Raw genomic sequence first — 16,043 nt, 5'->3', positions numbered from 1 at the left:
AATAGAGATAATAATAGTACTTATTTCATAGAATTGTTGTGAGGATAAAAAAAGATAAAGTGTAGTGTTGCACATAGTAGACGAATAATGTCTTAGTCTGTTTTGTATTGCTACAAAGGACTACCAGAGGCTAGGTAATTTATAAAGAAAAGAGGTTTATTTGGCTCAGGGTGCTGTGGGCTGTACAATAATCATGGCACTGGCATCTGCTTCAGGTGAGGGCCACAGGCTGCTTCCATTCATGGCAGAAGGCAAAGGGGAGCCAGAACGTGCTGAGATCACATGGTGAGAACAGAAGCAAAAGACGGTGAGAAAGGACCAGGTTCTTTTAAACAATCAGCTCTCAATGAAACAGTGAGACTTACTCACTTCCCTCTTCCCAGGGAGGGCACTAATCTACTCATGAGGGATCTTCCCGCACGACCCAAATACCCTCCCATTAAGCCCCGCCTCCAATATTAGTGACTAAATTTCAACATGAGATTTGGTGGGGAAAACAAGCCATATTCAAACCATAGCAAATAATAAATATTAGATATCAATTTTTAAAAGAAATTTAATTGGTAAAATACAAATAACACAAAATTTACCATCCTAATCATTTCTAAGTGTACATTCACATTGTTTTGTTCATTACCACCCTCCATCCACAGAAGTCTTTTCATCTTGCAAAACAGAAACTCTGTACTTATTTAAAAATACCATTTAATCTAGCAATCCCACTACTGGGTATATACCCAAAGGGAAGGAAATCATTATATCAAAGAGATACCTACACTTATATATTTATTGCAGCACTATTCACAATAGCAAAAATATGGAATCAAACCAAGTGTCCATCAATGAAGTATTGTATAAAGAAAATGCGAGACATACATACACACACACACATATATACATATATACACATACACACACGCACACATGGAATACTATTCAGCCACAAAACAAATGAAATCATGTATTTTGCAGCAACATGGATGGAACTGGAGACCGTTATCCTAAGTGAAATAACTCAGGAACAGAAAATCAAATACTACATGTCTCACTTATAACTTGGAGATAACAATGATACACATGGACACATAGAGTAGAATAATAGACATTGAAGACTATGAAAGATGGAAGGGTGGGGGAGAGGTGAGGGTTGAAAAATTAACTATTGTTTGCAGTGTTCACTATTCAAGTGATGGGTACATTAAAAGCCCAGACTTCACCACTAGGCAGTATATGCATGTAAGGAATCTGCACTTGTACCCCCTAAATATATAAAATTAAAAATAATTTAAATCCATCTCCCCATTCCTAGCCCTGCCAGCCCCTGGCAACCACCATTCTATCTTCTTTCTGTTTCTATCTCTATGAGTTTGACTGTTCTAGGTGCCTTCTATAACTGGAATCATGCAGTATTTTTCCTTAGCTATTGATTCTTAGGAGTCGGAACATCTAAGTGCAGTCTTAGCTCCTTGGCTTCCTAGCTGTGTTCCTTTGAGAAAGAATCTTCCTTTTAAATGCCTGAGGTCCTTCAGCTGTAAAATGGGAATAATAATACTCCCTTTCAGCTGGTTTTGCAAAGCAAAGGTGGTGTTAGACATGAAAATACTTTGTGTTCTCCACAGTGGTATTTTTATTGCAGGTGGTCACATATTTTTACGCATTAATTAATCTGTTCCTCCACCCATCACAACATTCATTCCTTTAATAAACTTTAATGAGGTCCTTCTGTGTACCAGCCTCTGTGCTAGGCACCTGCGAAGACACAAAGATACAGACTCTACTCTCAACATTTCACAGACAAGTTAGGAGGCAAAGGGGATACAGATCTACAGCAGCCGGTGGGTGTCGTAGTTGTTATATGCACAGAACTAAGGTCTCAGTCCAGTGGTGGTTCAAAGGGGAAACTTTTAAATGGAGTGGCCCCTCGATTGCAAAGCATCATTTTGGAAAGAGCCCTGGATGAGCTCCAGAAGACCTGTGTCCTCCAGCTTCACGGTTAGCCAGTCCAGTGACCTGGGACAGTCCTGTTCCCCTCTCTCGGCCTCAGCTTGCACTCAGGGAATGGTTTTCCAGTTGAGTTCTCTGGTGTGCTGGAATTCAGTGGTCCGGGATTCTTTCCTTCACTACTCTGTTTATATTATTGGGATTCCGATTGAAAAAAAGGAAAAATGTTCCACTGCTTTAAAAAGTTTGCAACTAGAGATGTACCTTTGGGCAAGGTACCTAATTTTTCTAAACCTCCATTTCCTCATCTGTAAAATGGGGATAATAACAGTACTTACCTTAAGAAAGTTATTGTAAGAACTAAATGTGTTTATAGTCATAGTAAGTGCTCAGTAAATATTAGTTAATATTATTGTCATTATTATTTGGAAAACTCTGGCTAAGAAGATCTCTCAGTCCCTTCCTGTGATGACCTGAGTCTTACACCATCCTCCATGTATCTTGTATTTCTGTTTGCTTTCCAACCTCAAGCTCCTTGATTTCCCTCTCACATTTCACATATACTCAGGCCTTGGACCCTTGGCTTCCCACGTTCTTCTGTGGGCTATTGTTGATAACCTGGGATGGGGACTGTGAGAGCCCATTGGGGCCTGGGTGTCACAGCATGTGTCCCCTTTCCTCCACCCATGCGGGAAGTCGAGTTTTCCTCCCTCCCCAGTCCCACAGTCTCATCAGCTAGAACACGGTTCTCCGCCTTGGAATAGTCAACTTGCTCAGTAAGTGAACTAATTACACTGGCTGCGCTTCTCTTTTGTTCCCCGGTCTTGCCGATTTGCTATTTATAGCATTTCCAAAGATGTTTCCTGGCAGTGTCCCTTTTCATTCTGCCTCAAAGACATGACACGGAGTGTAAAAACAGCTATAACAAAGCCCCAGAGGCTCTGCCCCCTGAGAACTTTTGGGTAGAGAGTGCTAGATCTTATTTATTTATTTTTTTAACCTGATATTTTCCCAGCAAAGAGACAATGGATGGTAATCAGGCTCTTTCTAGTTGGAGTGGTTTGTTTAAAAAAAGAAGAATTCAGGAAAGGAGACAGAAAGAGAGAACCCGTGGCCAACATCCACACAATGTGCATGACAGACTGCTAGCATGAAACTAGTCAGAGTGTAACCTATTTGACATCAAGAATTAGAGAAGTGGGGATAGGCTGGACTGCTGCCTGGATGGGAAGGTGAGCTGGTTCACCACGTGGGACAGGTGTTGTCAGTGTCAGGAACCCCACAGTAGCCCCTTGAAGTTCAGAGTGGTGGAGTACAGTCAGTCAGGGGTTTCTTTCTCCATCTTTGACCCAATGTGAGAACAGCAGGATTCTTTCTTATATCTGGCATATATTAGTCTGCAAAGAGTACTGAATTTAGAGTCCTTTACATTGGGTTCAGATTCTAGATCCAGTGGTCATCAGACTGTAAGGTACCTGGAAATCATCAGGAAATCTTGTAAAAATGCCCCACTCCCAGATGTTCTAATCCAGTATTAGCTGACCTGGGTCTCAGAAAGCAGAAGCCGAGGCAAAAGCTTACAAATACTACTACCTTACTGTGGACTAAAGTCCCAAGAAGTATCAGGAGGGGAAGAGGGAGTGAGGAAAGGAAAAAGGAGGACAAATACAAGGGTGTGCCATTGAGCTGGCTACCACTTCATGTCAGGTGAAGCCAATTTCTCACAAGACTGTCTTCCAGTAGCCCATGGGACCCCTGTGCCTCAGGATGGTCAGAGCATGGGAGGAAGGGAGAAGAACTGATCCATCTCCCATTCCCATGGGTTAAAGGCTTGCCCCATGGAGCATTTACTTGTTTGTACTTCCACATTGAAAATACATGTTGCCAAGTCCGTGACTTCTTGTGCCTCAGCCAGGGTAGTAAGGACAAGAGATAAGGGCACAGGCCATTGGTGTGACCAAAGTGCTGTCAGTTTGCCTGCTTTGGAAGTCAGTGGGGACCTGCAACCAGTGGGCAGGGCTGGTTGTTAGCGGGATGCTGGGGTGGAACAGAGGGCCAGGAAAAGCTAAGTGCATCTTGAGTGGCACATCGGAGGTGTCTGGTTAAACCCTAAATGATAGAAATGAGGGTGGTCTAGGGAATGTACTTTGAGAAACTTGTCCTAGACAGAATGACCTTCCACAAACCACTTAAATTCTCTGCATGCCAGTTTCATCATTTGTAAAATTAATAGAATGACATTTAAACTCACTTTCCTGAATATAAAATTAAATAAACCTTATGGAAAAACTACTTAAATGACACCCAGACTACAAATCTGGACTGCTATTTTGCATTGGAACAGCTGAAGGATAGCTAGGAATAAAAACATCCTTTCCTGCTTTCAGTAACATTCACAGAGTTGAAGAAGCTTGTGGTTGATAACTTTGGACATTGTAATTAACCAAATATGACAAAGCTGAATTTTGTGGAAAGCAAGCCAGCAATCCATGCAACAGTTAACACATTTTAAAGGTTAATTTTGTGCTAAAATGCTGGGTGGGGGGTGCAAAGGCAAATAAAATAGTGCTCTATGGACATGTAAAAAAACAACAAGCAATTTGGGAATTGTACTTCTGTTTACCCTTCTAATTATAAGGCTAATTAAACCCTGATTAGTGGCTGTGGTGTATAAATACTTTTGCTGTGCTTGGTTCCCTTGTGGAACATTCAGGACCCATGAAATTCAGGTACACAAGCAAACTTCCATTTACTGGAGGCTCAGCTACCTTCAGCTTTGGTCATACAAGTGTAAACAGAGAAAAACAAAGCATAATCAGTGAGTTACCTCCTTTCCTAGTCTTTGATGGTGACAGGTATACATAACCACCACCATCAATTTCTAGCAAGTTCTGATATTATTGAATGAATTACAAGTTGTTAAAACATCATGGCTTGATTGTTTTTGAACCATAGCATTTCCACTAAAGAGGCTCTTTTATCTTTGGACAACTGAATCGTCCAGTGATCACCTGTAATGCATCAAATCCTAGCTCCGTGATTATAAACATGGGATCTTAGTATTAGACAGGCCTTAGGGGTTATACGATTTAGCTTCCACTCAGAGTAGGAACATGCTATTTTAGATGAATGTTTACAGTGTTGGGAAACTCAGTACCTGAATACCCAGTCACTTCTCTTAGGGGAGAATGCTCATTAATAGAATATGTTGTGAATTCTAAACAATGGTCCAAAGTGGAGATTGTAGACCAAGTCATATATTAAATCGATTCTCTATCAAACATTTTCTGTAAAGAACCAAATAGCAAATATTTTAGGCTTTGAATACTAGCCGCGTATGATCTCTGTCACATATTCTTTGTTTTTTGTTTTATTTTACACACTATAAAAATGCAAAAACTGGCTGAGTATGGTGGCTTATGCCTGTAATCCCAGCACTTTGGGAGGCCAAGGCAGGTGGATCACCTGAGGCCAGAAGTTTGAGACCAGTCTGGCCAACATGGTGAAACCCCATCTCTACTAAAAATACAAAAATTCACTGGGCATGGTGGCAGGCTCCTGTAATCCCAGCTACTAAGGAGGCTGAGGCAGGAGAATCGCTTGAATATGGGAGGCAGAGGTTGCAGTGAGCTGAGACCAAGGGACTGCACTCCAGCCTGGGTGTAAGAGCGAGACTCTGTCTCAAGAAAAAAAAAAAAAATTCTTATCTCACAGGTCAAAGAAAAAAAAAAAAACAGGCCAGGTGGCTCACACCTGTAATCCCAGCACTTTGGGAGGCCAAGGCAGGTGGATCACTTGAGGTCAGGAGTTCAAGACCAACCTAGCCAACATGGGGAAAACCTATTTCTACTAAAAATACAAAAATTAGCTGGTGTGGTGGTGCACACCTGTAATCACAGCTACTCTGGAGGCTAAGGCATGAGAATTGCTTGAATCTGGGAGGCGAAGGTTGCAGTGAGCTAAGATCATGCCATTGCACTCCAGCCTGGGTGACAAGAGTGCAACTCTTTCTCAAAAATTATAATAATAATAATAATAATAATATATAAAATATACATAAATCTTAAATATACCCACACACATGTATTTAGCAGAATTTTCCTGGGTGCTTTGTAGTCAGGCTTCTTTTTTTTTCAGACAGGGTCTTACTGTGTGGTCCCAGGCTGGAGTGCAGTAGCATGATGTAGCTCACTACAACCTAAACTCCGAGGCTCAAGTAATCCTCCCACTTCAACTTCCTGAGTAACTGGGACTACAAGTGCACACCTATGAGCCTGGCTAGTTTATTTTTTATTTTTACTTTTTTTTTTTTTTGTAGAGTTAAGGTCTTCCTTTGGTGTCCAGGCTGGACTTGAACTCCTGGCTTTGAGCGATCCTCCTGCCTCAGCCTCCCAAAGTGCTGGGATTATAGGCATGAGCCGCTGTGCCTGGCTGGAGTCAGATTAAAGTGGATTAATCTTTCATCACCATCACTGACTATGTTTGGGACGCAGGACAGCTTATTTAATCTCTTTGAGCTTCTCTAATAATCCATGAAGTTGGGTTATATGTGCAGTGGCAGATTGCAGTAATAGTCCTAATGCTTCTCCCTTCCTTTCTGTGTTCACACTTTTTGCCATGTAATTTAGTAGTGCTGTCTCACTCTGACACTATATGACATGCTCTAGCCAACAAGATATTATCAAATGTGATACAAGCAGAGGCTTAAGTAATGCTAGTGTGTTTCCAGTTGTACTCTTGGTCCTCTGCCATGATCATGAAAGCAAACTTGGTCCAGCATGTTGGAAGATGAGAAAGACATAGAGAGGAGGAAACTTGGCCCAATTCCGTCAACCAAAGCCAGCCTAGATTATCCAATATCCAGTTAATGCTCAGACATATGAGGAAGTCCAGGATAAGCCAGAAGAACCATGTAGATGACTCTCACACTAAATAATTTACTGAGTTTTAGGGTTGTTTGTTATTCAGCATTATTGCAGAAAAATAAAACTAATACAGATGTCTGCCCACAGAGTTGTTTTGAGAATTAAATAACAACTCCCTTTCCTAGAATTTCTGCAATGTATTCATCTTTAAAAAGAAAAAAAAGTTATTGAACATAATTTTCTACCATTTGTCTAACATTTAGAGTTTATTAGTTACTTTCACTTTTATTTACTTCCTTTAATAAAATAACTGCTATTCCCAGGCTTCTTGGTTGCAGATGACAATACAATAATTTAAGCAAAAAGTAATCAATTAAAGAGTACGAATTGGCTCACAAAATCTCAGAAAGAGGCAGAGAACCAGGCTTGGATGCTATACCATTAACAACACTATGGGCAGGAAAAGCTTCCATTCATTCTGTTGCCCCATGCTAGTGAAAAATCTCTTGCCCTTGATGCTTGCTGTTTGATTTCTGCTGCACTCAGGCTTGAAGCCATGAACTCGACCCCCACTGCTCTAGAAGAACCAGAAGTCTTACTAGTGATCCTGCCAGAATATTTGCTCTCCCTGGGTGGCCACTGCCTCATGATAGTTTCTGTTTAGAAGTCTTGAATGGCTGTGTATAAATGGAGAGAATTATGTCACATGACTGTACCCTTTCTGGAAGAAAGTTCAGGAAATGTAGTTTTGCTGTTAGAACAGAAGGCAAGTTAGAAGGAGATTAGAATGGGTACTGGATGAAGCAAACCACAGTATCCACCACACAAACTCTAGGGTCAATGGCCCTATCCACATGCCACAGATGAGCAATCGGAGGTTCAGAGAAACTCAATGACTTGCCCAAGGTCATATAGATTGTAGAGGGCAGTACCACCTGAACACACGTTTTTAGATTTAAGAGCTTCATTACTTCTATAACACAACAACTTCCCCCATCTCTTTGAGGGTGGCCTATCTAGGCATAGGTGACATTGCTGGCTGGGGAAGTGAGGGGAACAGCTGACTTGGTCTGAGTTTCCAGGAGACTACTGAAGTTCCAGCATGAAGCCACTTTGCCAGAAGTAGTGCCAGAGGGATATCATATATTAAAGATTCAAAGTCTTTAAAAACAAAACAAAACAAAACAAAACCTATGGTAGGCTTCAGGAATCAGCATGAAACAAGACCTTATAGCCAGCCCAGATGTCCAATCAGGAAAGCCTTCCAGGTTCCTGAACTGTCAATAGGGCTTCAGGCTAGGATTCCTTCTGAGTGACCACAACTTGACATGACAGTATGATGCTTGCCCAGCATGTATTTGCTGCAGGCCCTAGAGATATGTCAGGAAAATACTGCTGGGGGTCCCATTTGTGTATGTTTCCTCAGCACACAGCTAAAAACTTCAGATGCCTGCAGATAATGAGACCATAAACCCATGACATCTTACCCATCCTTCTCCTGCTTCCCTCTCATTTTTTAGACCATAGGAAGGGTTACTTTGAGACAGATTGATGAGTAGGACCCAGACTAGAATATGCCGATTGAGTAGAAATCCTCATCAAACTAGTAGTGGTTTCACTTATATTATTCTAATGAATAGAAAAGATAACTGAGTTTTTTGTTTTGTTTTGTTTTGCAGAATGTGGGATAAGGGTATCTTTCCAGCTGAGAAAGCAATAAAGAACCTTTCCCACTCTTTAGTGTAACGGGTTGATTTGAGTGCAGTCTGCTCTTCCTCATGCTAGACATGGCTGCTCTCTTTGACTGTTCCCTTAGACACATATTCAGCCATATCAATCTCTTGTTCCCATGCCTGAGCTTTTAAGAGCTCAACCAATGTATCCTTCAGAGTGGCAAAATGCATTCTGAATTAGAGTAAAAGGCTTTTCATTTATTCTTTGAGACCCATTATACATAACAAATAACAACTTTGACTTATTTCTAAATGTCATGTAGCAAAACATCTGCTACCCAGGGAAAATGTGGACCTCCCCAGAACATGAGCTTACCTTTGCACCTGCTGTGAACATCTAGTGATTTCTTAGAATTCATGTTCCAGCCAATTGACAGGAGAAGCAGCAGACTGGATTAAAGAACAGAACACTATTTTAGCTGATTCTACTGCATTTCAAGTGGTTTGTACTAAGTAGCTTTTCCATGTATTTGGATAGTGTACCTGAAGAGCAGAGACGTTTACTTTTCTGTTTTATTGGTTATCATTATCATTCAAAATAAGAAAATTGAATAGGAGGCAGAATGGTCCAGCTGAAAGAGGTTTGATTTAAAACACAGGGAGTAGGAGTTATTGTCCTAGGTATTAGGACTGCTTATTTTCAGAAAATCTAATCAATTAAGAGATTAGAGGTAAGAAAGAGCATTATATATATATTATTAATATATATTATTATGTTATATATCATATGTTATATATTTTTAAAATCTTTATTTTTATTAATAATAAAACTGATATTGAAGAATGTGATTTATATCTGTAGGCAAGTGGGTGTTTTTAAATACTGAATTACAGAATAAGAAAGACTTTCCATCTAAATCCCAGGCAGTTCTGAACAAGTACAGGACTTCTCTACTCCCTTAAAAGCAAATCCTGACCCTATAAAACATATAGGGTTCTTCTATAATGGCTGGGCAAGCTGAAAGTTAGAAACCCTATAGCTAGAGAAACAGGATTGATTTGGAGTGTGTGCATGTCCAGGGGCGTTGTTAAAAGCAATAGCAATCTTTAAGGCAAATAATTGAAAAGCCAACTTGAAATAATGGTTGCAAGTCACAAGTCAACAGACTAGCCAAAAATTTAATAGGGGTATCTAACAGGCTTAAAAATGAAAAGAGGAATAAAAGAAAAACTGATTGCAAGCATTAGTGGCTGTACAATCTGGGGGAGACAAATTCTACAGAATTAGTCAAATAAAGTCACTAAACAAATAACAACAACAATAAAAACCCTGGAAATAACAACTTCTGGGAAGAATCAGAATCCAGAATTCCTATAATACGTCATCTAAAATATCACTTGTAAAACAATAACAACAAACAAGACGTGCAAAGAAGCAGAAACCCTATAGCTAGAGAAACAGGATTGATTTTAAGTGTGTGCATGTCCAGGGGCATTGTTAAAAAACAGTAGCAATCTGTAAGGCAAATAAATGAAAATCCAACTTGCAATACTGGTTGCAAGTCACAAGTCAACAGACTAGCCAAAAGTTTAACAGGGAGATCTAGAATGAGATAGCCATTGTGTACCTTGATAAGCTGCCACTATCCCTGTTGATCTTTGTTGTTCTGGAAGGCTACACACATAGGTGCAGCTGTGTGCATAATCTGGAGACACCAGAGAAGGCTTTAACTAACTATTCATCCATGGCTGAATATGAGACCTCATAAACTTACGGAGGAGATGCAAGAAGGCATGTCAGAAAGTAAACTGTATCAGATTTGTAAACTGCCTGAAGGTTGAAAGTGTTCTCCAACCCACAAACAGATCCATTGTCAAAGGGTAGAAATGTTACTGAATCAAGATGTTTAAGTACTGCCTCTGACCACTCAACATGATCACTACACTATGCTTACCAGGGGTAATCTCTAGAATCCAGGCTTAAAATGAAAAGAGGAGTAAAAGAAAAACTGATTGGAAACATTAGTGGCTGTGCAATCTGGGGGAGACAAATTCTACAGAAATAGTCAAACAAAGTCACTGAACAAAACAACAACAATAAAAATCCTAGAAATAATGACAACTTCTGGGAAGAATCAGAATCCAGAATTCCTATAATATGTTATCTAAAATATCACTTGTAAAACAACAACAACAAAAAAAACAAGATGTGCAAAGAAGCAGGAAAATATGACCCATACTCAGAAAAAAAGTAGTTAAAACATACTATATTTGACGGGTACAGATTTGGACTTCGCAGAAAAAGACTTCAAAGCAGCTATTATAAATCTGTTCAAAGGTGAAAGCAAACCATGTTTAAAAAGTGAATGGAAAGTATTATTATAATAATTCACTAGAGAATATCAATAAAGAGATATAAATTACCAAAAAAAAGAACCAAATGGAAGTTCTGGAGTTGAAAACTACAGTAATTGAAACAAAAAATTTACTCAAGGGGCTCAACAGCAGATTCAAGATGTCAGGAGAAAGATTTAGCAAACTTGAAGATAGATAAATAGGACTTATCCAATTGGAAGAACAGAAAACAAATAGAGAAAGATGAACAGGGCCTCAGAGACCTATAGGACACCATTAAGCACAGCAACATATGTTTCATGGGAGTCTCATAAGCAATTGAAAGAAAGAAAGAGGGGAAAGAATATTTGAGGAAATAATGCCCAAAAACTCACCAAATTTAATTTAAAAAATAATCCTCACATCCAAGAACCTCAGTGAACTCCAAATAGGATAAACACACACACACACAAATCACATTTAGATATATCATAGTCAAACGATTGAAAACCAAATATAAAGAAATAATTCTAAGATCAGCAAGAAGTAAAAAAACACTCACTGTATACAGAGGAATGAAAATAAGATTCACAACTGACTTCCTACTAGAAATAGAGGCCGGAAGGCAGAATTATTGACATATTCAAAGTGCTGAAAGACAAAAACCTATCAACCAAGAATTCTATTTCCAGCAAAACTATTCTGCACAAAGATATTCTCAGATAAACAGAGACTAAATGAATTTGTGGCTAGCAGACCCGACTTACGAGAAAGAGTAAAGAAAGTTTTCTGGACTGAAAGAAAATGACACTAGGTGATAGCTTGAATTCATGGAGAAATAAAGAGCACTTGTAAGTTAATTATGAAGATAAATATAAAAGACAATAAATATATGTTTCTTTTCTCATAACTGATTTAAAAGACAATTGCATGAAATAATAACTTTAAAATCTATTGTTGGGCTTATAACATATAATGATGTATATGACTATAATAACACAAAGAAGGAGAAAGAAAATGGAGATATATTTTAACAAAATTTCCATATTTTATTAGAAGTAACTTAGTATTAATCTAAAGTATATTATGAAAAGTTAAGGTGCATGTTGAAATCTCTGGAAAATTTATTAAGAAAACAACTCAAAATGTATAAATAAATCCAACAAGGAGTTAAAATGGTACAGAAGAAAATATCTATCTTACACAGAAGAAGGCAATTAAGGAGGAGCACAAAAATCATGAGACATACAAAAAAGTATCAAAATGCAGATATAAATCCATCCATATCAATAGTTACATTAGATGTAAATGAATTAACTGCTTCTATCAAAAAGCAGATTGTCAGACTGGATAATAAAAGAAGATCCTACTATATGCTGTATCCAAAACACATATTTTAGATTGAGTCAAATACGTTGAAAAGTAAAATAATGGAAAAAGATATACCATGCAAACAACCAAAATAGAGCTGGAGTCATCATACTAATATCAAAGAAATAGACTTTAAAACAAAAAGTCTTATTAGAAACAAGATGTATAGGATATCAGGAAAATGGAACAATTAAAATATATATGCAACTAACAACAGAGTCCCAAAACAAGTGAACTAAAAACAGAAAGAACTGAAGGGAGAAATAGGCAATTCTGTAATAATAGTTGGAGATCTCAATATCATACTCTTAATAATTGATAGGCCAACTAGAAAGAAAATCATCAGTTATATGGAGAATTTGAACAACACTATCAATTATTTTGACCTAACTAGTATCTTAGAGCACTCCATCCAACAGCAGCAGAATGCATATTCTTTTCAAGCACACATAAAACAATTATTTAGAATAGATATGTGATAGAGCATAAAACAGTTCTCAATAAATTGAAAATAATTGAAGTTATGACAAGTATGTTGTCCAACAAAACCAGTATCGCATTAAAATCAACAAGTGAAAGAAATTTGGGAAATCCACAAATATTTGGCAATTAGACAATGCAATTCTAAATAAACTGTGAGTTAATAAATCACAGAGGAAATTAGGAAATATACTGAACAAGAATGAAACCAAGCATCAAAATTTGTGGGGTCCAGCTAAGGCAGTACATAGAGGAAAATTATAACTTTTAATGCCTATATTAGAATAAAGGAGGCCAGGCACAGTGGCTCATCCCTGTAATCCCAGCACTTCGGGAAGCCAAGGTGAGAGGATTGCTTGAGCTCAGAAGTTTGAGACCAGCCTGGGCAACATAGTGAGAGCTCGCCTCTATGAAAAATTTTAAAAAATTATCCTGGGGTGGTGGCATGCACCTGTAGTCCCAGTTACTCTGGTGGCTAATATTAGAGGATCACTTAAGCCCAGGAGGTCGAGGCTGCAGTGAGCTGTTATTACACCACTGCACTCCAGTCTGGGCAACAAAGTGAGATCCTATCTCAAAAAAAAAAAAAAAAAAAAAAAAAAAAAGAAAAGAAAAAAAAGAAAAAAGAAAGATCTCAGACCATTGACCTGTGTTTCCACTTAAAAAAACTAGAAAAATAATAGCAATTCAAACCCAAAGCAAGTAGAAGTAAGGAAATACAGTTGTTTTTTGTTATCTGTGGGGGATTTTTTCCAGGATCCCTTACAGATAGCAAAATCTGTGGATACCCAAATCCCTTATATAAAATGGCATAGCATTTGCATATAACCACCTATATACTTTAACCCATCTCTAGATTACTTATAGCACCTAATGTAAATGCTATGTAAATACTTGTTACACTGTAATTTTTAAAATTTGTGTTATTTTTATAATTATAGTGTTGTTTTTTTATTGTTTTTTTCCAAATATTTTCAATCCACAGTTGGCTGAATTCAATGATGTAGAACCTATGGATATGAAGGGACAACTGTAATACAAATTAGAGTGGAAAACAGTGAAACAGGAAACAGAAAAACAAAAAAGTAGAGAAATTCAACAAAACTAAAAATTTAATGAAAATATTAATAAAATTTATGAAACTTTTACTATACTGATCCAGAATAGAAGAGACAAAAGGCAAATGAAAAAAATTGGAATGAAAGAGATGACATTACTAACCACCTTACAGAAATTAAAAGGCTTAAGGGAATTCTATGAACAACTTTATGCCAAAAATTTAGACAACTTACATGAAATGAAGAAATTCCTAGAAAGATGCAAATTTAACACAATTGACTCAAAGATTAAAAATGTGAATAGATTAAAACAAGCAAAGAAAATGAGTTAGTAATTAAAGATTTTCTGACAAAGAAAAGCCCCAGCCTAGATGGCTTTACTGGCGAATTCTAACAAATATTTAAAAAAGAATTAATGCCAATCCGTTGCAAACTCTTCCAAAATATAGAAGAGGAGGAAACACTTCACAACTCTTTTTATGAGGCCAGTGTTAACTTGATACCAAAGTCAGAAAAAGATATTACAAGAAAGTTAAACAGTAGATCCATATTCCTCATAAATATAGATGCAAAACTCCTCAAGATAGTATTAAGAAACTGAATTCAGAAACATATAGATAAAGAGATTCTACTTCACAATCAAGTGAAATTTATCTCAGGAATACAAGATTGGTTTAACATCCATAAATCATTTAACATAATATACCATATTAATACATTAAAGGACAAAAACCTTATAATCATCTCAATACATGCCAAAAAAGTATTTGACAAAATTCAACACCCATTTACTACAAAAACTTTCAGTAAATTAGGAGCAGAAGGAACTTCTTCTAGCTGATAAACCATATCTAAGGAAACCTAACCTTCTATCTTAAAAGCTATAGCTAATGTCGTACTTAATGGTGAAAGACTGAATGCCTTTCACTTCAGATCAGGAACAAAATAGGAAGTCTGGTCTCCCCATCTCTGTTTAACACTGTACTGGAGATTCTAGCCAGGAATTGGCAAGGGTTAAATTTGGCCTGCATTCAGTTTGTGTACAGCCCACAAACAAGAATGGATTTTACATTTTTGAATAGTTGTAAACAAAAAAACAGAGAAGCAGAAAACAAAGGAGAAAATGTGTCAGACTTTGTCTTGAAAAAAAGATATTTTCTATCTGTCCCTTTTTAGAAAAGTTTGCTCATCTCTGACTATAAAACATCAGAAAGCTTCTACTACTACTACTAATAGCTACCATTTACCGTGCTTACTATCAACCAGTCCCCATCCTTTGTTGAGCACTGGAGATATATTATCTCAGTTCTTCTTTATAACAATTTTTCTATTTAAAAGGCCCTTCTGCATCTGCTGAAGCAAACTCAGTTTAACTTGATTATTTCCGGAAAGATCCTATTTCCAAATAAGGTCACGTTCAGAGATATTAGAGATTAGGACTTCAGCATTTGAATTTTTGGAGGGCATACTTCAGCCCATAATAGCGTATATGTGCATGTATGCATGCATGTGTGTGTGCATGTGCGTATGTGTGTTTTCTGTGCTTCGGAGACAGATACACAGAGATGAGATGGAGAGGGTTGGTTTCAGAACGGAGGGGAGGAGCAGATACAGGCAAATATGTCCAAATGGTTTCAGGTTGAGTGTGATTGGAAAAGATTGAGAGAAGGTTACTACTTTAATTAGTAAGAGGTTACTGGTGATTTTGGAAATAACAGTTTTGAAAATGCTGAGAGAACAGAATCCATATTGCAAGGGCTTAAGGTCCACTAACCTTACACTTTCTATTTCAAAGGCCCTTCCACATCCACTGAAGCAACTGAGCTTTACAACCCCACTGGGAGGAGGGCATATTTATGACCCATTTCATGGATGAAAAAATAGAGGCTCAGAGAATCACTCTTCTTTTATGTCAGAGCACATCTGAAGTGAATTTTGGACTGACTTATAACAGTTCTGATGTGGTTTTTCTCTGTTTTTATTTAATTCTTGGGTCACCAATGTAAATTTTCAAATCTTTTGTGATATAGTGCAAACAAATGGGTTTGGAGTCAGACAGCTTCATCAAGTATGGGTAACCCTGAGCAGGCCATTTTTTTTTTTTCATTCTCGGGAATGAGATGAGAATGTTTATATATACTTTGCAGAGTTGTTGTGGGGCTTAAAAGAAAGAGAGTAAGTAGGGTGGCTAGGTAGTTAATATCAGTTTGCTTCCTCATTATCTCCCTAAATCTACAGTACAACAGGCACTGTGTATTATAGTCCCTCAACTCTCTCCTAACAGCAAGCAATTCCCTGTACATAAAACAATGCTGAGTTAA

At 37.7% G+C, this 16,043-nt stretch overlaps 1 protein-coding gene across 4 annotated transcripts in view, besides 1 other annotated feature; it reads left to right on the top strand.

Moving 5' to 3' along the window:
• The window catches only part of DAB1 (DAB adaptor protein 1), a 1,551,949-nt gene that overhangs the window by 353,176 nt on the left and 1,182,730 nt on the right, over positions 1–16,043 (top strand). The gene's annotated exons all lie outside the window — the stretch shown is intronic.
• Positions 7,397–7,898: an enhancer, noted in NCBI's record as "NANOG hESC enhancer chr1:58651325-58651826 (GRCh37/hg19 assembly coordinates)". NCBI's record gives its function as "activates a minimal SCP1, AML or CMV promoter by ChIP-STARR-seq in naive and primed H9 embryonic stem cells {active_cell/tissue: H9 hESC(naive and primed)}" and the evidence as "EXISTENCE:reporter gene assay evidence [ECO:0000049][PMID:30033119]".

Source organism: Homo sapiens, chromosome 1 (genome assembly GCF_000001405.40).
Source record: "Homo sapiens chromosome 1, GRCh38.p14 Primary Assembly".
NCBI classification, from domain to species: domain Eukaryota; kingdom Metazoa; phylum Chordata; class Mammalia; order Primates; family Hominidae; genus Homo; species Homo sapiens.
Note: the sequence above shows the minus strand (reverse complement) of the source record. Positions and strands in the feature narration are given on the sequence as shown.